The sequence below is a fragment of the Homo sapiens genome, chromosome 3 (assembly GCF_000001405.40).
Source record: "Homo sapiens chromosome 3, GRCh38.p14 Primary Assembly".
Taxonomy (NCBI): Eukaryota; Metazoa; Chordata; class Mammalia; order Primates; family Hominidae; genus Homo; species Homo sapiens.
Window position 1 is genome coordinate 117879271 of NC_000003.12, and position 24795 is coordinate 117904065.

Below are 24795 nucleotides of genomic sequence, written 5' to 3' on the forward strand. Positions count from 1 at the left end.
TGATTGTGGAGATAGTGGAAGTTTGTGGTGATTGCAAATAAGATGGATGCTCCAACAACCTGAGTTCTGGAGTGTTTGCTATGTGCACCGTGCCCCAATCCCTAACCTATGCTAAACATGTAGCATGAATGCAAAATAACATTTTCATTGTGTTAAGCCTCAATGAACTTTCAGATTTGTTTGCTTCCACAATTTAACCTAGGCTAACTTGACTAATGTAGGGATTTTTTTTAGAAACAAGGGATAATCAATGCTGGCATATGTTGCAGAGAGATCTAAAAGGCTATGAGGATGGGGAAAATGTACATTGGCTTTGATGAGTAATATGTTAGCATCGATCTAAAAGGAAGAAGTTTTAGATGAGTATAAAAGACAAAATACAGACTTCAGGATCTAAGGAGAAGATGGGTATTAAGGAAGCAAAGGAAACAATGTAGACCACTCATATAATAAATGTGGTAATTACAAGAACACTAATAGTTAGAGAAAAAGTAAGGGTCATTTGCCTCTCTTTCTTGTGGGTCTCTCCTGCTTTATAAAGCAGAGACCAGTATTATGATTCAGTCTTTTTTTTCCTACACTCAGGTGGCTGAGCACTGCTGAGAAAAATCAAGTAATCACATGGTCACTTTTTTTTTTTTATTAATTTGAGACAGTCTCACTCTGTCTGTCACTCACTCAGGCTGGAGTGCAGTGGCGCGATCTCTGCTCACTGCAGCCTCTGTCTCCTGGGTTCAAGTAATTCTCCTGCCTCAGCCTCCTGAGTAGCTGGGATTACAGGCACATGCCACCATGCTAGGCTAATTTTTGGATTTTTAGTAGAGACGGGGTTTCGCCATGTTGGCCAGGCTGGTCTCGAATTCCTGAACTCAAGTGATCCACCTGCCTCAGCTTCCCAATGTGTTGGTATTACAGGGGTGAGCCACTGTGTCTGGCCACTACAAATTTTTAATCTGCAAAATCAGCAGGCCCTCTGCAATCATTTTATCAAACTCAGATAGTTTCCTCTCCCATTTCCACAACAACTCTTGCAAACCTTAGACATTCTTCCCTAGCCTAGCCTCATACTGAACTCTGCTCCATGAAGTCTCAGCAAAGCATCTGGCCTCTTAAATCTTCAAGAGCACTAAGGCTATAAGGTATACTCTTTTCTATATATTCCACTTGCCCCCTTCTACTAAGTTAAATTTACCCACACCCTTCCTTATGCCCTTTCTCCCTGTCTCAGATGTTGAGGCTTCCACACTTCTGGCCAGGCATTCCCTTCATCTAAACCATTTTGTACTGCCTCTTCTGGGACCTTGCTCTACTAAGCAGTCCTCTTCCCATTGCATTCAGTTGCTTACTCTCTACTGTTTCCTTCTTCCTGTAGTTTATAAATATGCCATAAACCCTACCTTGAAATTAAATCTCCCTATAGCAGCTACCACCTAATCTCTATCTCATCCACAGAAGAGAAGCAGGCTCACTACTAAACCCACTATAATCTCACATCTATCATTCTACTACAGACTGTTCTTACTAGGATCACTAAAGACCAAATAAATGTCTACTAGATGTATATTATTAAGCCTCTATATTATTCTTAACTGCAGTTGAAACTGCTGACTTCTTCCTTTGTGAAACTCTCCAGTCTCCTGGTGTCTGTGATTCTACGCTTTCCTCATCTTACCCTGTCTCCGTTGTACTTCTCTCTTCTTCCCAACACCCTTGAAATGCTGATTATCTCTAGGGTTCTCTCCTTGGCCCACTCTTTTTCTCACTGAGCAATGTACCAGAGTTATCTCATTTGTCTGCATTATTTCAACGTTACCTATATGCTGATGACTTCCAAATTTAAATCTCCTGTCCAAACTTCCTTGAGCTTGAAATTGATAATCACCTGTAGAGAATATCCTATAGAGACTTTAAAGACAATATGTCCAGAATTAAGTCTTTTTTACATCCTAAACCCATGCATTTAACTATATTCTCTCAATTGATGGAATTACCACGTAGCCATTGAGCCAAGACAAAAATGTGGGAGTGATCCCAGTTTCTTTCCAACTTTGGTAGAATATATTGTTGTCCTGCTTTTATTCCTGCTGCCTTACCATTTCAGTGCATGCTGGCTTGACTTGCTAATGCCATTATCTGCATCTCTCTACATAGCAGAGCAAGAAGTGCCAGGGAATTAACCTCCCTTTTCTTTGACCCATGACTGAGAGTAGGCTTATAAACATCCTGCCTCCATTCCCCTTAGGTGGGATGTGTTTACATATAAGACATGTTTTTAATAATTTCAACATTTATTTTAGATTCAGGAGGTAGACACGCAAGTTTGTTACATAAGCATATTGCGTGATGCTGAGGTTTGGGGTGTAACTGATCCCATCATCTAGATAGTGAGTACAGTGTTCTCTACTGCCTTAGCAAGTTCCTCAGCAGGATTAAGTGCCAGTTGCCCACACTGGTAATTTGCTTGAAAATATGCCGTTTATTTGCTGAATTTCCTCCTCTGTTTTACTTTCTTATTTTTTGTGCTTGCATTTTCTTCCTTTCCAAACCAAATTACTTAAATTCTGATCTCAGGTTCTGCTTCTAAAAAAACCCAAAGACACCAGCGTTTAAGTGAATATGTAATCAAACACTTGATTTGAGTTGGTAACTGTGTCCCAATTCCATTCACATCATTTCCACCATTTTGTACTTTCCTCATTTATTGCCTGGGCTATTCTAAAGGCCTCCTATTCATTCCTCTGTTTCTAAGCCTGTCTACCTCAAATCCATCCTCTACACTGCTGAAAGAGTGAGGTATTTATAAAGCAGTCCTCCTGTGTCTCTGTTGGCTGAAACCTTTCAATATCTCCCATCACCTACAAGATACAGCTCAAACACTGATGATGAAATTAATATTAATTAAGATCTAGTCCTACCTACATTTTTAGCCTTGTTTATCCTACTTCTCCATGTTTTATTCCAGCAACACCAATTGAATTGATATCTCACTCTCTCTCACCTCAGTGTTATCCCATCTCTCTAGATAACCAGATCTCACCTCTCTCCTATCCTATCCTATCTAGAAAGTTTCACCAGATCTCACCTCTCTCCTATCCTATCCTATCTAGAAAGTTTCAAACAAACAACCCCATCAACAAGTGGGCAAAGGATATGAACAGACATTTCTCAAAAGAAGACATATATGCAGCCAACAGACACATGAAAAAATGCTCATCATCACTGGCCATCAGAGAAATGCAAATAAAAACCACAATGAGATACCATCTCACACCAGTTAGAATGGTGATCATTAAAAAGTCAGGAAAAAACAGGTGCTGGAGAGGATGTGGAGAAATAGGAACACTTTTACACTGTTGGTGGGACTGTAAGCTAGTTCAACCATTGTGGAAGACAGTGTGGCGATTCCTCAGGGATCTAGAAGTAGAAATACCATTTGACCCAGCCATCCCATTACTGGGTATATACCCAAAGGATTATAAATTATGCTGCTATAAAGACACATGCACATGTATGTTTATTGTGGCACTATTCACAATAGCAAAGACTTGGAACCAACCCAAATGTCCATCAATGATAGACTGGATTAAGAAAATGTGGCGCATTTTCTTAATGGAAAATGTGAATTTTATGGAATTCACCATGGAATACTATGCAGCCATAAAAAGGATGAGTTCATGTCCTTTGTAGGGACATGGATGAAGCTGGAAACCATCATTCTCAGCAAACTATCACAAGGACAAAAAATCAAACACCGCATGTTCTCACTCATAGGTGGGAATTGAACAATGAGAACACTTGGACACAGGAAGGGGAACATCACACACCAGGGCCTGTTGTGGGGTTGGGGGGAGTGGGGAGGGATAGCATTAGGAGATATACCTAATGTAAATGATGAGTTAATGGGTGCAGCACACCAACATGGCACATGTATACATATGTAGCAAACCTGCATGTTGTGGACATGTACCCTAGAACTTAAAGTATAATAAAATATATATATATATAAAAGAAAGTTTCCCTAACCTATACCTCATGCCACCATCCTTAAAATCTTAGCTCAATATATCCTTATGCAAAAATCATTTTCTAACTGTCCAACAAAAGGCTAAACACCACATCCTTTCACATTATTGTCCACATATATCTATTATTTGCACATCAGATAATAATTTTCTATTTACACCTGGATTATTACAATTGTCTCCATATAGATCTCCATGCCTTGAATGTCTTCCTCTTTTGAATCCACATGACACATTTCTACGATTACTAAATTTACAAAAAAAAAAAAAAAAAAAAACAAACAAATAGGAAGCCCCAGGCAAACTCACTATATAACTAACCCCTTCTCCAGTCACTCCATTCTGATCTTTGGTTCAGGACGTAGCAAACTAAATTACTTTTCTCACTGCATGCCATGGTGCAAGGCTCTGTTATGCTTCTATGCATTTGTACATGCTTCTGACTGGAATGGATAGACCCACCTACTAATCCATCAAGTTTATCTCAAACATTACTGCTCTATGGTACTTTCTCCCATCTTTCCCCATCCCTTCTTGTTAGCAATCTCTTCTAATGGCATCTCTTGGCACTTGGCAAATATTCCCCTTATAACATTCACTATACTTCCTTGTAATGATTTGTAAGTGCCTTACAGGCTGTTCTTTCTCATCTCAGCTCTGTATCTCATACACAGTAAATGCCCAGTAAAGAACTGTTGAGAATGAATGAATGAATGAATGAACGAACAAATTAATGGGAAGAATAATTAGTTTTTAATCAAACTAAAGACAATCACAGAGAGGCAATTCTTTGCTTGCAATGTGGCTGAGCCTTAGAAGCATTTCTCATATTAAAAACTGGAGAGTAAATCTGAAAACAAAAGATAGAAAAGAAAAAAAAATAGAGGCTAGAAATGAAGAAACAGAAGGAAACAGAGTGGGGAAGGCAGGTGAAACAGGCAATGGGGAAGATTGATGGCATAATCTACTTCCACATAGGATCCTCATATGTGGCTTCAGCTCAGCATACACGTGATTATCATAACTCCAGCAATGGGAGATTAAGCCTCAATTCCCCTCAGCAGGGCTTTCCCATCACACATGTCTTTCCTACTGCCACTAGGGATTTAAACTACCAGCCATAAGAAGCTACACATTATATTAACTCACAGAAAGAGAAAGAAGCAAAGGCAATAACAGAATTACACCTTCAGGGTCCCTGGTGAAAGGGGTATTCTCCAAAATAAAGCTAATTATTTAAATGATGGCAGTCAGTCACTGGCTGGTCATTGCAGTGGCCATATGTATGGTAATGTATTGTAGCCCCTCTGTTGGATGAGTTTTCATGCTCTGAACATCTGCCTACTGCAAGCAAGAATATGTTCTATTTAGCCTGAGAAGAGTATCATATGCACAGAATTACCCAGAACTAGAAATTCAGTAATACAAGCCAATTATTTAGGCATTGCAAGAAAGGGGTGTTGGGGTTTCGAAAGATCACTCAGTTGACAAAAATAAGATACAGATTTAACTCAAATACTGATGTGTGGGTCAAATCTGAAGCCCAGTGGTAGATAGCTGTGAAAATGTCTAGTATGCTAATAATCAGGCCACAGTGAAATGGTGTCATTACTCCTTCTCATTATCTTCCCCTGTCCCTTTACTTCATTCTCCTGTCTCTCAATGAGAATGTCAATAAACCTCACTGGAGTTAAACACTGGAAGTATCTAATTTCTCCCCGGCAAGTTCTCAGGTTCTCTTTTCTCACAGATTTTTCATTAAAAATAGGGTAATAAATGAGAGTCTTGGAAGACATAAGGAAATCTGTCTAGTAACTTTCATTAATCAAAAAGCAAGAACATAATTTACTCATTCCCCTGAGTGACATGTTTTTGCTCCATCGCATGGCTCACTTCCTCTTCTCCCTCCCCCTGCTGGTTTCCTGTCTCTCTCTATCCCCCTATTATAAGGACAACAATTTCCTCAGAGCCGTCAAACACATCAAACCTTGGTAACAGCCTGCACAAGGATGTTTCTTAAAAGGCAACGTCTGAATATGACAAATGACATTAGCCCCGTGTTTGGCAGGGTCACAGCCAAAGCCAAGACTGATATTTACAGTATACTTTATAAAACCACAAACATGTTCCTAAGTCCTATGGGATGTCATGTCACACGGAACATATATAATTAATCTTCTATTGTGACATTTACCACCTTTCTCCTCAGGCAGGCCTCTCCCAGAGATAGTTAAGTAGCCACTGCCAGAGCTGCCACCTACCAGCAATAGTCGTGTGGGTGTTTTAGGGTCTGGCACCAATACAGCATCAGACCTATGCAGCAAGAGCATTTAGTACTCAGCCTTGAAAAAAGACTCAAACTTAACAGGTGATGCAGCGAAATATTTCCCTAGTGGAATAAAACTTTCAATGCTTGGAAGGGGTGCTGGCCTTGGAGAATTGGCTGCTATCAGTTTTGGACATTATATAAATTTGCCTTAATTTAGCTCTAACATGACACTATATTTCAAGGCTTGAATACACTGATATTGCAGAAGTGGAAGTTTCAAAACTGGATACTATCAGTTTCAATCTTTACAATACCTGAATCAAGGCAGGGCCAGCAAAATGATTTGAATGGCTAAATAATAAAGTTTACTGAAAAATGTTAAAAGCTAGATTTCTATAGTAAGTATATACATACATACATGTATGTATGTATACACACACCCACACACACTTGTGTCACATATGTGTGTGTATATATATGTATGTATATAAAGATACATGTATATATATAAATATATGTATATATTTATGTATGTGTATATATGTATATATATTTATATATGTGTATATATGTATATATATTAATATATATGTGTGTATATATATGTATATATATATATATATATATTATATCCAAGATTCCAGTTCTAAGTACTATTCTTCCTCTATGGCTAGTGCCCAAGCAGAAGTCCAAGGCCAGACATCTACATGTCCCAAGATTCTCTGTCCAGCAGTGGGAAGACCACGTAACTGAGGGCAGATTTCCAAATTCCAACATTATCACAGCACTGAAAACTGTTACACTTGGTCAGCTAGGCAAGTGCAGTTGTTAATCCCAGACTGAGCAATTGCCTAAGCAGCAAGTCCGACACACATTAAGATTGGCATATCCTTATGACACCCCTCCATGAATACACACAGAAATCTCAATTTTCATATGCTAGCTTTAACTCCATCGTTTTCTCTAATAGTCAAGAAATCAAATCAGTGAGCTGGAGTGTTTAGTGGAAATATGGTTGTTCCTTTCTACTGAATATAAAATTAAATAATTCACATGTTAGTATTTCATTATGAATAACAAGATAATCACAACACAATTGACAACTCATGAACAGACTTTAGGATATCAAAACCCTATGGTTGAGCCATGCTTCACAAGATAATCATACCATACGCCTTCTATGCCAGACATAGTGCTAAGAACTTTACGTATTACATTTAATCATGATCACAGTCAGAAATATTAGATTATGTACCCAAGCTCATACAACTGGCAAAGTTTTGGATCCAGGATTTTAAAGCAGATTCTTCCTACTGCAAAGACCATGATCAACCACTATCCTATTTATAATGACTCTCCGCCTCAATCTTCACCTCAAAATCTTGGGTGCTCCCCAGTGGCAAGATCAAGGTCCTGCTAACTATGACTACAACCTTATTTATAGTCTTACTTACTCCCCGTACTCTAAGACTCAGGTCAAATGAATCCTCTTGGCAACTTCTCTGAAAATTCGACACAAGTTATTGTTCTCCTCTAGTGCAGTGAGAGCTTCTACCCTCCTCTACTCTACTGCTCCTTCATCAGGGCAATTTTTCTCCCCAGGGAGTTATCTGGCAATGTCTGAAGATATCTTCAGTTGTCACAACTGCGGTAATCCTACTAGTATCTAGTGGGAAGAAGCTCCAGTTGCTTGCTAAACATACTCAATGCACAGGAAAGCCTCTTACAACAAATAATGACCCATCCTGTCTCAATAGTGTGAGGTCGAGAAACCCTGGTGTATATGATAATCATCTTTGTAACTTCCTTAAGGAATTTAACACTTTTCATCTTGCATTACATAATATACAGAATATTCTCAGAGGTAAGAGGCTATGTCTTACACAATTTTATATTACATATCCTTTTCCTTTTCAAGAGTGACTTACTGTTCTAAGTAACTAATAGGTGTTCATTAAGTGTTGGGGACCGTATGATTGATGAACAGTCTACAGACAGTTGACTCTTTAGGGTAAATTCTGAAAGACACATTGGAAGAGTTGTGTGAAACAGTGACTGCATCATAGAATCCTGTAGATATGAGGTGGCCAACATATCAGATGAACAACAATCTCATTTTAAATGCATGGATGACGAAGACCAGAGAAGCAAAATGAATTGACTAAGGTCACAGGGCAAGGGCCGCTTTCTTAGTCCTTAGACTGGGCTATATATTAAACAAAGCCAACACTATATAAGAAAAGGATCAAAAGCAGAAAATATCTCTTAAATAAGTAAAATTTCTCTTTTCTCAGGAGAATGAAAATCTCCTCATGACATGTGTTAAGTACGTGAGTTGTTTTTTCTTTTTTTAATCATAAACACGCTATGCATCAGTGCTTCCTCTAATCATACTGTCAGTGGTGATCAATGCCTTTTACAGAGATTTGTGGAAACCACAAAGAGTCAAACGTTGCTAGTATGGAGATAAATGTCCTTGAAGGCTCTCAGCCTTAGCTCACCACTAAATGCCTCCTTGGAGGATGCTTTATTTTATCCCCACGTTATTACTGAAACAAGGCAGTGGTGCAGTTCTGACTCAGAAAAGTGTCCAGGGTACTATGTCAAGACCTTAGTTTATGACTCGTATGAAAGACAGCTCCATCCTGAATTTTCTTTCTTGTCATCTGTTGTCCCAGTCCTGGTGATTCCTCATCCAATTAGTTCATGAGTTCTCTGAGCTAACCCTGTGGACAACTCTTTTGTTATTTAAAAATAACAGCAACAAAACAACATAATTTAAAACTTGATACAGAGGTTGTGCTCTCTGTTAAAAATTATGTGCCTCATTCTTGGGGCTGACCCAGTTCACCCACTTCTGTTAATAACTAGCTCACAACTGCTCACAAAATCACTTCTTAGTAGTATGAAACTCTCACAGTGTGGCTGGGTATGTGCTCCAGCAAAAGAGACCCAAAGGCTTAACACGTCTGACTTCAAAAGGAATAGTCTGCTGCTGCATCCTCAATAGGTTGTGCTCAGCTGAGAGAACCCAAGCAGAAGATAATGCCACACTAGTCCAAGATTAAGGCAAAGTGCACTGTGTGCCAATAACTAAGCACAGTCACAATAATGGAGCAAGAATAAACCTGCCATTTGGACACAGTTATCCTGAGTCTCCAGATCTTTCTTCAGATAGTACACCAGAGGCCTCATGAGTTACATGAACAGAACTTTTACTAGTGGAATCCCCACTTCGGGGCACACACACAAAATGGAAATGTTATCTTTTCTTATTCAAGACAGAACTGTTTCCTCTTCTCAACCCAGCTACTAATCCACATGTCAGCATCTGTGCTGCATAACACATTTCCACATGTTGTCCCCATCGCAGGGTCTTCTATTTAACCCCATCCTTTCCTACATGAAAGAAAATCTTCACATAAATATTAATGAGTGTTAGACCCATGAGCAGAAAGGGATGACTCTCTCAGCATTTCATAATGATTGCACTTCTCTCCTTCTTCAAAAGCCACAATTAAATCCCAGAGGGAAAATTATCTTCTGTGGATAATGCAAACACTGTTGTTTTAATATATGCACAGATTCATAATGATATTACTGTTATTAATAGTGACAATAATGAATAAATTTGCTACTAGAAAATAAGTAGGTAGCCCAGATTTTATAACCCTATTAAATATCTCTGTATTTTATATGTTGCATATTATTTTTTTATGAGATGACCTGAGTCACATATGCACTTTTATAGCTTCCTAGAGATACAAGAAAATGGAGCTATAACTTTTCATTTTCTCTCTATCATGTGTGATGTGTATAAGAAATATGCATATGTATCAAAAAAAGAAAGCTGTATTTTACCTCAGCTCTTTGATCTGGGGGGTAGAGATTATTTTCCATATGATTATATTCAAAACAGTCATATTTTTCCCATACACATTTAAATAAGAAGGAAAGAAATTAGCCACCAAAATCACTCACAAAAAAAATAAGAAAGAAAAAAAATCATCCACCAAAATAGAGCTCTCCACTTACAATGTATTGTTTCTCAAGTGACTTTTGTCATTGGATACTCCAAATAGGGGAGTCCAAAAATAACAGCACGTAATATTACAAGGCTTCAGAGTTCTGAAATCACAGTCTGAGTCAACTTTTTTAGGGTATTCAGAAATTTTGAGTGGCACTCACTTTGATGTGATCCCCAAACAGCCTTAATAATCTATTAAACTTCCTTGCTATATAAGAGATCATCAAAGAGATCAGGACAAGAAGAAACAGAATAACAAAACAGTATAAGGAAGAGAATAAAATGGAAAAAGAACATAGTTGTACAGATACTTGACATTTTTTAAAAGGCAGTTATTCATTGTCTCAAAGGCACTGAAGAATCAAAACCATTGTCTGATTGATATTATATCAAAACATAAATTTGCCAACAATCCAATTGTTTTATCATCTTCTGTGCAATAATACAGCATGAAAGAATGGAAAATGCATTTATGATATTCTCAACTTGATGAGCAACTTACTGTACAAGTTGTCTATTCTTAGTTATCGTAACACTTGCTAAGTCAAAAAATCAGGTAGGATTTGGCCTTTTTCCTGTTCATTATAAGCAATTCTTGATGTTTTCTACTGGCCGGAGTGTATAGACTTTGCTTTCTGGCCATTGGATCAAGTCTGGGACCAGCATTTGAGGGGCGCACCAAAATGAGCTTCAGTGTTAGGAAGAGCCTGCACAGAAAGTTAGTTGTGCAGGGAATACACAAGGCTAGACAATCCTGAGGTCTTCAAGTGTTGTGTGGTCCCCTTTGACACTTCCCAGTGGTGCTCTGAAAGGCTTATCCCAATGGGCTTCAAAGTTTTTATTACATTAGAATCATCTGGAAGGTTTGTTAAAGCACAGATTGCTGGGCCTCACCCCCAGAGCTTCTGAGTTGGTAAGCCTGAGGTGGCCTAAGAATTTGCATTTCTGATGAGGTGTTAGAATGCCCATGCTTCTGGTCTGAGAAATATGTTTTGCAAATCATTATTCTATTCAATTACATACAGATTTCCAGGACAATCTTGTCCTGGGTTCCACAAAAATCAATTTCCATCTTCATGTTTAAAATATAATGCCGCCACAATTTGGAATTAAAAATTAAACATTTAAGGAGTTACGTATTCTCTGCTTGACATCATTCAAATTTTTAGAAGTATTTAAATTCATTGATATGGATACACACAACTAGAGATGGCCTTTTGCTAAAGAACATTTAATTCCACTGACAGATAAAAGGAAATATGGGGGATAGCCTCATCCTTTAAAATGTCAGTTTCTTTTTACATTGAAGAAATATTATGACTGGTGTACAGAAAAAATAGATTATAGCTTTCACATAGTTTGGTTTTTAACAGTTTTGCAAAGCCTTTCTTCCAATGTTATTTTATCCAACAAATATTTTATTAAATGTCAGCCTACAAAAGGCCTACTGTATGCATGGCACTCTGTCAGCCCCTTTGTAATATTTAAAAAATAAATAAATAGCAAGTTTCTGACTTAGAGAAAAGTTACACACACACACAAACACAACATCACAGCATATAATAAGGTGAAAGATGAAACTTTACACAGGAAGATTGCCCTTTTTAGGAAAGCTCTGGCTTTTTTTATTTTATAGAATAGTGCTCTTCATCAATGGATCAGATGTTGAATTTGCAAATACTCTCAACCTATGTCTTTCATTCTATTCAGTGCTGTTATTTATCTTTTTAGCTTTCCCTTCTGTCTTAGTCCATTTGGGTTGCCATAACAAAATACCATAAACTAGGTGGTTTATAAACAGCAAACATTTATTTTTCAGAGTTTTAGAAGCTGGGAAGTTCAAGATGAAGGCACTGGCAGATTCGGTGTCTGCTGAGGGCCTGTTCCTTATAGACATTACCTTCCAGATGTGTACTCAAATAATGGAAGGGTGCTAATACTATTCATAGGAGATCTGCCCTCATGATCTAATCACCTCCCAAAGGTCCCACTTCCTAATATCATTACATTGGGATTAGGTTTCAACATACAAATTTTAGGGGGACACAATCATGATAGCACTTTCTAACATAATTATCCTAATTATCCTATTCCTTTGACATTTAACTCAACTAACATTTAATACGCATACTTAGATGACAGCCATTTTGTCTGGCAATGGGGAGAAAAAGTGGATTGGTCTACATGGTATCTCCCTAAAGCTACTTATAGTCTAATGGGAGAGAGGAACAAATAAAAAGGCATTCATGCTATGGGGAGTAAGCACTAAGACTAGAGAGAGGCAGCTGGACCAGACATGGTAAGGTTTTCTGAGTTTCCTAATACTTGAGGTGAATCTTGAATTTAAAGTAGGAGGGGCCAGACAACAAGGTTGTAATGAAGTAGAGGGAACAGCATGCCAAATGGTCTCACATCATAGTGGAACATATTGTGTTTATTAAGAAAATTTAAATTGTTCAGTATTGATTGAAAGAAAAAAGTGTGAAGAAACAATATAAAAATAATCAGCCAAATGGGACATCAAGCCCCAAAAGAGGAGTTTCCAAGTCATCTTAAGGAGCTTGGGTTTTACACGAAGGGTTGAAATCCATTAACTTAGTTTAAGAAGATAATGGCAGGATAAGTTTTGTTTCCGCAGAAACAATCTTGCATTTTCTAAATTGTAACCATCGTTTCAGTTTTCTGAATATTCTGTACCTTTTTGGATGCCTACCTGAAGCAAGCAAACTAAAAGTGATGAAAATAATTGATACCTTTAACTAGCCATTCACATGATATGATTTACAAAGTCAAATGTGTAGATGTTCAATGGCCACTGGGTGACTGATTCTGTTTCTCCATTTCTATTGGGGTGTTTGGTGAGGCATAGCCTCCAGTTGAGTCCCAGGACTGGACCTATCAGTCCAGCCAAGGCCTGAGTCATGTTGACTATTTCAAAAGGGCTGTTCTCATTCCTTTCTCACAGTTACAGATTTGCTTTTTACCACTCCTCCAGAAGGAAAAAAAAATGCTGACTGGTGGCCTACTTGTTACCCACTGTGGCCTCTCTAAATTTTTCTACCCAAGCTGCACAAAGCTGTGATAGTGTTGCTCATTCTTATAGTCTTACACTCAGAATTCCCTCCACACGACTGTGCTCTTTGTTCTTTCTGCACATTATTCGGCTGATGTCTGATCGCTGTCCAAATCCTCAATCATCTGGAATTTTCACTCTTTGCTTTAGGATATAGCTCATCAATGCCTTACTGTGCTGGCTTCTCACATTATTTTCATTTGATGGTTGTTCTGCACTCTTTATTTCCTACCTCTAATTTTCACCAAATTAAATTCAATAAATATATTTTCTTAATGTTTGGAACTTTGTACTAAAAACATGATAAAGGTGTTTTGAGTATAGACCTTAAAAGTAAAGCAAAAAAGGGAACTAAAATCATCTGAACTTTAATGCCTTTTTCCTTTTTTTAAAGAAAATTTAAAAATGAATACCTGTACTGTTCTATAATATCTTTGAAAGAAGCAACTTAATAAAAAATCAGAGTGCTTCTAGTTAATTTAACTCCCTCCAGACCCACATTCCTTCCAAATTGCACACTTCAAAACTACAGAGCCAAAGAACTTTAGATGCCCTCTGAGAATGCCTGAGGAGAAGGGGGAAAAAGATCCATGAAAGAAAATGAAAGTAAAAGCTAATTTATGGAGAGAAAAGGGAAAATGGTGAGGAAGTTTCAATTAATCTGTGATTGATTTAACACTTAAGAACAATTGTTAAGAAAAAAAGCAATATTAGCATTTAATTAATTATTTAGAAGCTATTTAAAGGAACATATTGTATAGTGTATTAAACCTATAGCCCATATGAAGAATGGATTGAAACTTGATAGGAGATTACTAGCTTGAAAAATGAAAGGTTGATGTACCATAGGGACAATCCCATTCTAAGCTTAAAAACATGGGAATACAAACACATGAAGGAGAAAGGGTTACAGACTGTTAAACTGACAAAATTTTAGATACCTGGACAGCCTGAAGTCATTGACACCTAGACTTTGTGATTATAAAGAGTCTAAAGTGCTCTACTGATTACCTCTGAAATAATAGACCTTCCGGATTTTTGTTCCTAGACAAAAGGGTGACTCTAATTTATATAGACATTGTAATATTTAAACAAATCTAACCCAGGATGTGGTTTCATAGGAACCAGAGTAATTACGGAAACTATTTGTCAAAGAGTAACTGACAGGCCAAGTGATGAATGGAATCTAAGGCAGGATGACAGTACTCTCCTGTAATTCCACAGAGCATGATTCCAACAGTTGCTGTTGTCACTTTTGCTTGTTGGGAAGCTTGTTCTGTATATGTGCATGTAAAGGTGTTAAAACCATCAAAGCCTCTCTCTGATATTTTGTTGTTGTTTTTACTTATATTCATGATGAGGGAAGGAGAGAAAACAAAAAAAACATATCTTTGCAAGTTAGTGTTAATGTTAGGTACAAGAAAGTGCATGAATGCCTGTTCCCCACACTCCGCACACCCAAACCTACACTCTCTGCCTGCTAGATTCTGTCACTCTCTATGGCTTCCAGGACATACTGCTTATATGCACAGTACTATAAATTTGAGAAAGTCCATTCTGCAGCTTTGTTCTAATCCAACCTCATGTCTCTTCATGTGGAAGTCATCATTGTGACTCTGAAACAATATACTTTCTCTCTCCTGCTATGTTAAATTCACTACCCATCTAGCCATCTTTGCTCTTAATAGCATCAGTCTCCAACCACATAATGATACAGGTTCTGTTTTAAATATTTTACACATAATCTCATTGATTATAAATATCATATAAATTGAGGCTGCTATTTTCATTTTTCAGATGAGGAAACAAAGGCTGAAGTATGTTAAGTAACTTGCCCAAGGTCTAAGAATTAAGAAGTTGTGAAGCCAGGACTGTAATGTAGGTCTCTGCTTCTACAATCTGAATTCTAAACACTGCTAATCAACAACTGCTTTGCCTCAAGGAGTAGAGAAGCTGCTAATGTCAGCATTGTTGCATTTTAGTGTTAATCCACCTTATCACTGGTTCAGAATTAGACTAAATCCAAACCCATATTCCCCTGTTGATGATATGAAACGGTCACTGTTTTTTTTTTTCTTTCTTACCCATCAATGGACATTTTGTACTATAAAGTATATGCCATGCAAATTAGATGGAGAAGCAGAAAGCAGGCTATTAGACCCTAGGGTTATCATTTTGGGAAAGAATTGAGGAAAATATGCAAAGGAACATGAAATGCTTTCTTCCTTCCCATGACTTTATATAGAGGCTTGGATGAATTTTAAACACATATATTAAGATTTAAGGATTAAACACTTAGTGATGGAAGTTCTTTTAAACTCTAAACCGAAAGCCTTCAACTTTGCAAGATAAGGGTTAAAGAAAATTAAAAGGACATTTTGCTGAAGGCTGGTGGAAAGAAGGATCTAACTACAGCTGCTGGTGGTTCTCTTTTTAGGCTGACCTTCTTCTGCCTCCTGGGGGGATATATTAGCATGTCCAGAAACTGCATGCCCATGAAATATTTGAAAATTTGCTAACTGTAGAAAGCTTACCAAAAGGTACACGTGCTATCCCTGTTGCTGTCAGTTAAAATGTAATCAATAAAAACTACAGGGCCAGCCTTTCCCCAAAGCAAAAATGTCCTGCTGAAGTACTGTCTTCTAAATATCTTTTTAATTTCTGATGGCACTACAGCTATCCTCATTCTTTGGGGTTTTATACTTTACCACATATGTCTATTTAAGGTCAAGCCATGGCATCTCTTTTAGGTTCATGTCTTACAACTTGTTGCATATATGAATCACATACAATGTGCTACAATGGAAGAATCATGATCTTTAGAGTCTGGTCCAAATCCAAGTCTCATGCTTATCAGTTACATATAATTAACCTCGCTGATGTTTAGTTTCTTAGCTATAAAATGGTGAATATAACAAAACCTCCTAGGTTTATCATGAAGATTATAAGTGAGATAATACTTAAAATATATTTAATACATTGCCTAGTACATTGTGAACTCTTAACAAATGGTAGTGGACATTATTATCATACGTGAAGACCATTTATAGTAAGCATTCATTTAATTCCTATCTTGTCATTATTAGAATGGCTAGATTCACCTTACTCACAAATGACACAAGCACATCTAATTTACTTCAGTTTCTTCTCTTTGTCTTTAGTATAATCTATTCCCCAGCCAAGAAAGTTATTCTATACACTGCTACATGAAATTTTTCTCAAGCGTTTCCTACTAAAGACCCCCCAAGGGACTTAAGAACATCTTAGAAACCCTATGACATTCAAATTAAATATAAATTGATCTGCTCTTCACTAATTCACCTGTTCTACCTGTCCTACCAAACTCTTTTCTTAGCTTTCACAGACATTTGATAATAGGAGAGCCAGGTTATCCCACTATCTGAGGCATGATTTACCTATCACACCTGGAAGTTTATGAAGTTTTTATTCTATCTCACCCTAACCAGAAAACCACATTATGTTACTGTCAATTCATGTTTCTCTCCTTTTACAAAACCATTCATGCTTCCTTGATGGCTTCAAATTAACACCACTCAGTGCTGATGAGATTTCTCAATCTACAGCCACTCAAAGTGTTTGCTTTCGGTTTGCTTTTTACTTGTGTGTTTATATTCCTTTCCTTAGAAAATTTATTCATTATTTGTTTACCCTTGATGCTAATACATTCTATGAAGCAAGGTAACAAACATTTTATATGCTGTCTTTGCCAAAGCTGGTGAAGATATCAGGATACCAGAATAAACGTTCATAGATGACTACACCACAGGCATAACTCCTTTTATTGTGTTTTCTTTATTGCGTGTCATAGATACTACTTTTTTTTACAAATTGAAGGTCTGTGGCAATCTTGCATGCAGCAAGTCTATGGGTACTGTTTTTCCAATAGCATGTGCTCACTCTGTGTCTCTGCATCACATTTTTGTAATTCTCACGTTATTTCAAACTTTTAAAATATTATTATATCTACTATTGTGATCTGTGATCATTGATCTCTGATATTACTATTGTAATTGATTTGGGGTGCCATGAAATGCACCCATATAGAATAGGGAGCTTAATTAATAAATGTCTGTGTTCTCACTGCTCAATGGACGGGCCATTCTCTCATCTCTCTCCCTCTCCTCAGGTTTCCCTATTCCCTAAGACACAACAGTATTGAAACTAGGTGAATATTAACCCTACACTGGGCTCTAAGTGTTCAAGTGAAAGAAAGAGTAGTATGTCTCTCACTTTAAATCAAAAGCTATAAATGATTAAGCTTAGTGAGGAAGACATGTCAAAAGGAGAGAGAGGATGAAAGCTAGGCCTCTGATGCCACACAGCCAAGTTATGAATGCAAAACAAAAGTTCTTGAAGGAAATTTAAAGTGCTACTCCAGTAAGCACACAAATGATAAGAAGGCAAAACAGCCTTATTGCTGATACAGGGGAAGTTTAGGTGGCTTGGGTAGAATCAAACCAGCCACAACATTCTCTTAAGGAACACCTAATTCAGAGCAAGGCCCTAACTCTACTCAATTATATAAGGGCTGGGAGAAGTGGGAAAACTTCAGAAGAAAAGTTTGCAGCTAGCAGAGATTGGTTCATGAGGTTTAAGGAATGAATCTGCCTCTACAACATAAAAGTACAAGGTAAAACAGCAAGTGCTGATGTAGAAGCTGCAACAAATTATCTACAAGATACAGCTAAGATCATTGATGAAGATGGCTACACTCAACAACAGATTTTGAATGTAGACAAAACAGCCTTTTTCAGAAGAAAATGCCATCTAGAGCTTTCACAGCCAGAGTCTGGCTTCAAAGGACAGACTGAATCTCTTGTTAGAGGCAAATGCAGCTGGCAAATTTTAGTTAAAGCCAATGCTAATTTACCATTGCAAAAATTCTAAGACCCTTAAGAATTCTGCTAAATTTACTCTGCCTATGCTCTAGAAATGGAACAACAAAGCCTGGATGATGGCACATCCGTTTACAGCATGATTTGCTAAATATTTTATACCCATTGTTGAGACCTACTGCTCAGAAATGATTCCTTCCAAAAGATTACTGCTCATTAACAGTACACCTGTTCATTTTAGAGCTCTGATGGAAGTGTACAAGGAGACTAATGTTGTTTTATTCCCTGCTAGCACAACAGCCCATGGACCAAGGAGCAATTGCAACTTTCAGGACTTATAATTTCAGAAATACATTTAGTAAAGCTATAGCTGCCATAGTTAGTGATTCCTCTAATAGAACTTGGCAAAGTAAATTTAAAACCTTCTGGAAAGGATTCACCATTCCAGATGCCATTAGGAACATTTGTGATTCGTGGTCAGATGTCAAAATATCAACATTAACAGGTGTTTGGAAGAAGTTGATTCCAACCCTTTTAGATAACTTTGAGTGGTCCAAGACTTCAGTGGAGGGAGTGTCTGCCTATGTGGTAGAAATTGCAAAATAACTGGAATTAGAAATGGAACCTGAAGGTGTGACTGAATGCCTGCAATCTCATGATAAAACTTGAACAGAACAGATGAGAAGTTGCTTCTTATGAATGAGTAAAGAAAGTGGTTTCTTGAAATGGAATCTACTCTGGGTGAAGATGCTGTGAACATTTTTGAAATGACAACAAAGCATTTAAAACATTACACAAACTTAGTTGATAAAACAGAATCAGGGGTTGTGAGAACTGACTCTAATTTTGGAAAACGCTCTACTGTGGGTAAAAAATGCTATCAAATAGCATTGCAAGCTCTAGAGAAGCCTTTCCTGAAAAGAAGGGTCAATCTATGTAGCAAACTTCTTTGATGTCTTATTTTAAGAAATTGCCACAGCCACCCCAACCTTCAGCAACCACCACCCTGATCAACCGGCAGCCATCAATATAGAGGCAACACCCTCCATAAGCAAAAAGATTACAATTTGCTGAAGGCTCATATAAATGTTAGCATTCTTTAGCAATTTTTTCAATAAAGTATTTTTAAATTAAGATATGTATACTGTTTTTTGGACATAATGCTATTGCACACTTAATACACTATAGTATAAATATAATTTTTATATGCACTGAGAAACTAAAAATTTCACGAGTCAATTTATTGTGATATTTTCTTTAATGCAGTGGTCTGAAACCAAACCTACAATATCTCTAAGATATGCCTGTATTTAATAGTGTGGCCGATATCAGAGAGAGAATGTACCTGTATGACTGTTTTTCTTCATCTATGCCTCACGCTATTAATGTTTTCACCCCCTACTGGAAAGAGCTGGAATTGAAGGGACTCTGATCCTATTTCTCAGGTTCTTAGGGAAATAAACCCTAGCACTGACTGCCTGAAAGGCAGCTCATTCACTGATGTTCAGGACTTAAATAATAGTAGAGTTCCTTTTTTCTCTCTCTCTTTCATTCCTTTCTTTCTGAAAATGTTGCTATGGTAACCGCACTGGGTTTTCATTCTCTGTCTTCATCATGCTTCTGCTTAGAAGCCCTGGAGAGAGAAACATTGATCAGTGATGCAATAAGACAGCCTCTGGGGAGAGAGGAAGGCCATCAAGGGGAGTATGTATTCTTAGGACACTGGATCACAACTACTCTTTCAGCAAAGACAGGTCGATTTGACCATCCTTTAGGGGGATTTAATTAAAAACCATTCTAGGCCAGCCTGTATGCAGCACAGTAGCAACATGGATCACCAGCATCTAATAGTGGCATGTCAAAGAAGGCAAGGGTTACTCAGAAATGGCCCACACATATTAAAGGTTTCTGCTGTGGGCCGCTGTCAAGCAAGAAATTCATTTAGTGCTCATCCTTTTAGCCAGGGAGATTTACTGCCCATGGGTTGAATTCACTTTTCATGTTATTAGATCACTAGGGACCAGGAAGGTTTCTCTCCCCTCCATCCTATGGCTTTCCCAGTGGAAGGGGCTTCTACATAGTTTCACCCACGTATTAAAGGAAGCACACAGGCTGAGGAAATTGTGAATTGTACTTTCAAGGTACTCTCGTTCCACTGCAGCAATGACTACTGATAGTATTTGCGGTGATGTCTTTTTACATGTGACTTTACAGATACCAGTTTATTTTTAATTTTTCCCCACATTTTCATTTTCTCATATATTAGGGGGAGGTAAAGAGATTTGGGAGCCTGAAGGTATTCTAAAAAGCCGCCTGTGAATACCTCATACATGTCAGTGGTGGGCTTCTGGTTTCCACTTGGAAAATATTCCTGCCCACTTACCAGGATTCTAATGTTTTTTTGGGAGTGAACTGTGCCAGGTTTTAAGATGTCTGGCAAGTGAGGAAGGTACTCTGAGAATATAGGACTTGGTGGCCATATACAGTTCTCTCATTTACACTGTCAAAATTCTTCTAGCCCACTTTCTCCTGATTCTCTCAAATCTGCCAGTACACATTTTCCTTTACCTTCATCCTTGTCCCTCCCTTCCTTCCTTTACCTCCTATCTAATCCCTCCATTCAGTGAGATTCTTTTCAGACTCTGCAATTACACAGGCTCCATTGCACCCCATCCTTGCCAGATTCTACATATGTTAACTTATATGAGTTATTCAACATCTATGGGCTTTGAGCTTTCTCATCATTACCATGTTATTGTAAAGATTAGTATAATAATGTATATGAAAAAGTGTGTCAGGAAGTATTCACTATACATTAGCTTTTACCTCATTTAGATCCACATATGTTTCCTGATTTTTTCCACCTCTTTTCTTTACCTCTTTAGTCTCTGATCACATTGCTCAACATGATTTGTTAAAATTTTATTTAATATGTGAAAGTTAGTTAACAACATCTTCACACACCAGTGCAAATGCCATAGAAGCTGTAATCATTCAGAGTTACTCCAAGACTCCATCAACTGGTTGCCCAACTTTTGTATCCTACCCCTTCTCAGAGAGATAAAACATTCCACACTCTGAGTACTCCCATAAGGTATTGTATAACTCAAAACAACTACAAGATACGTATATTGTATATACCTACTGTATATATTGTATATCTCAAAACAACTACAAGATAGGTATACTGTATATCTCAAAACAACTACAAGGTAGGATTTGGAATGGTCTCACCACAGAGAAACAATATGCTTTTGAGGTGATAGTTATACTGATTACCCTGATTTGATCATTATACAATGCATAAATATATGGAGACATCACATTGTACCCCATAAATATGTACAATTATTATGTATCAATTAAAAAGTAAATGAAAAATGTTAGATCCTCAGAACTTGAATTTCTACTCTTTTCTGTTCCTTGCCTCTTTTTCGAATGGCCTACCACCATGCCAATTTAAACTTATATACTTAACAAGCCACTGTAGATAAATTGGACAATATACAGTATTTTATTACACTTACTGTGAATAAAGTTAGCACTTAAAGATCTATGCCTTCTCCCTCAAGGAACACTCACTCAGGGATTTCACAACAAACCCTCAAATGATAATTTCCAAATGTGCAGCTCCACCCTGATTTCTGTCTCAGCATTCACTCTCTTAATTCTCAATACCTTCTGAAAGCTTCTATCAATATGTACAGAATCATCTCAAATTTATTACAAGTCCTTTGTAGCTCATCTGCAAAAAGTATTTTACTCTAAATAATTTCCAATGACCCTGCCAACCTGCCAATCTATGACTTTTTGTATTACTCTAAGACAATCTGTATCACTCTCGCAACTCCCTCTCTACTGTAATATCCCAATATTTGTCAACTGTTCATTCATTTCATATTTTTTGAGAAAATTATGCTTATAAAGTTATAATTGTTTTTGATTCACTATTACCTAATTAGGCACTGAACTCATCTTCCAAGTCAAGTTGAATATTGTGTCATATTTCTTTACAATCTTTTCCTCCCACCACTCTAATGAGAATCAGAACAATCATTATAATTAGTGTGTCCTTTCCTTCTCTCTGTAATCCAACAGACACACAACTACCAACTCAATATTCTGAAAACATTGTGTTCATATTTCACTCTCCTGCTCAATAATCACTGGAGGTAAATGGAACTCCAATGTCCACAGAAGAACACTGAGGCTCTAGAGCCCAGCACTCACATCCCTTCATAATAACACTTTTCCTTTTCAATCTTCTTACCTGCTTCTTCTCAACATAATTTTTCCTACCCAATCAATACACAAAGTCAAAATTTTGATTGCATTTAATTACGATTTGTTCATCACATCACAAATGTACATGCCACTGTGTGGAATGCCCCACTATCTTCTTTTACCTATTTCTTTCTTTTTGTTCATGATACTATTCAACTTCCTCCTAATCCCAGCAAGTCTTCCACGACTCTCCCATTCACAGAGATTTATTTTGACCTGTAACACCTATAACACTTCCTATGAACCTACCACTTAATCATATATAGTTTTACCCAGTATGTAACATATTAATGTGTATGGTATATGGAGCATTAATGGTGTATGTAAGGGATCCTGAATGGTACTACAGGTTTATTAATACAACACTTTAATTAAAATGTTCCCAGTTATAAATACAGCATAGCAGGCACTCGATTACATAATAGGGACACAATGGAAAACAAGGTAGACGCTGTAGCTGCCTCATGAAAAGTGTAACCTAATAGAGGCTCATGCAGGGAAGCAATAAAGAAGTATGATGAATGGTATGAAGACGGTAGTACAAGGTGTCATAGAGCACAAAGAAGGGACACCAAATATGGTCTGCAGGTGGGAGAGGCACATGAGCACATAGGAAAATATTCTTGGTTAAAGTTATATCTAGGCCAGGCGCGGTGGCTCACGCCTGTAATCCCAGGACTTTGGGAGGCCGAGGCAGGCGGATCATGAGGTCAGGAGTTGGAGACCAGCCTGGCCAACATAGTGAAACCCCATCTCTACTAAAAATACAAAAATTAGCCAGGCATGGTGGCACGTGCCTGTATTCCCAGCCACTCGGAAGGCTGAGGTGGAAGAATCCTTTGAACCCAGGAGGAGGAGGTTGCAGGTTGCAGTGAGTAGACCACGCCACTGCACTCCAGCTTGGGTGACAGAGTGAGACTCCATTTCAAAAAAAAAAAAAAAATTATAACCTAATTTAAGACCTAAATAATAAATAGTATTTTGGTAGGTAAATAGGGGAGGAGACTACGAATATGAGGTAGTGAAAATCTTAGAAGAAGAAGAAACAGCATACACAAAATCCTAGTAATAAAAACATATTGCACCTTCAAAGAACTAAAAGAAATTGAAGATGGCTAGAATTGGGGAAAGCAGGAGATTTTATCTCAGTTTTAACTGGGTCCAGAATCCTATAAGGCCTTATAGTTCATAGTAAAGATTTAGAAAGTTGGCCTGACAATGAATGCTTTTAAGCATAACAATAATTTCATAAAATTCTTAACATGTAGTAATCCAGGAAGAACATAATGGTTGCTTGAATTAGGACTCTTGTAGTTAGGGTGGACAAAAGTAGATGGATAAAGAAAATACAGAAGAGGCAAAATTAACAGGCTTTCTTTGGTGGTAGACTAAACTCCTAAGGGTAGAAACTGTACTTATGCATCTCTGTATCCCACACAGTGCCTGCCATGGTATTTTAGTGCAGAAGGGACCCTATAAATATTTGTTGAATGAATAAATGAAGCCTCTAAAACTTCTCTCCCTAGAAGAAATATGAATTACATTCATGTTTCATTTATAAGGAATGTAATGAATGCTGAAAGCAGAGGCAAAACCTTTCAGCATCAGTCCTGTTGAAGGAGCTAGTAAGTAGGAATTTCAGAGTACTGCTGTGTGCAGCCCCAGGGGAGCATGGCTGGTTTAAGGCCAAGGATTCAGGATTGCCATCACAAAGATGGCTGTGGTATACCAGGCAATTGAGAAGGTGAAAGGGCAGCAGGAAATCTAATTCCAGAGTTTTGCAACAGAACACAGATTTTTTATTTTATTTTATTTTATTTTATTTTTTTGCAATAAGGCCAGCTTCTTAAATGCTACAATTACCCATATCAGAAGAGGGAGTATGTCACACATACTTTCACATGCTTCTGCAAAACAGTTGAGTTGAGTTTGGGATAAGGAAATGATATGGATAGCAAACTGAATGCCATATTCTGAAAGCATAATTCCATCCTGGCCACCTTGGCAAGTCATAGAGAAATAATTGGCTAAATATTTCTTTGTATTCTCTACCATCTTTCTTTCTTTCCCTCTATTCAACTTTATTCTTTCCCTGGTGCATCTCTCTCCTCTCTTATACTTTTCTTGTATCTCATTTTTCCTCAAGCTCTAGCTCTTCTTAGCTCCATCCCCTCCCTCACTCTTAGCTTAGTATCAGGGTTGAGGTCACAGAATGAGCCAAGGATTAATTTAAAACCTATTTAAATTGAGATGGGGGGAGATAT

At 37.6% G+C, this 24795-nt stretch overlaps 1 long non-coding RNA gene across 1 annotated transcript in view; it reads right to left on the reverse strand.

The window, feature by feature from the left end:
- Window positions 1–24795, reverse strand: part of LINC03051 (long intergenic non-protein coding RNA 3051) — a 120212-nt gene that overhangs the window by 1903 nt on the left and 93514 nt on the right. The gene's annotated exons all lie outside the window — the stretch shown is intronic.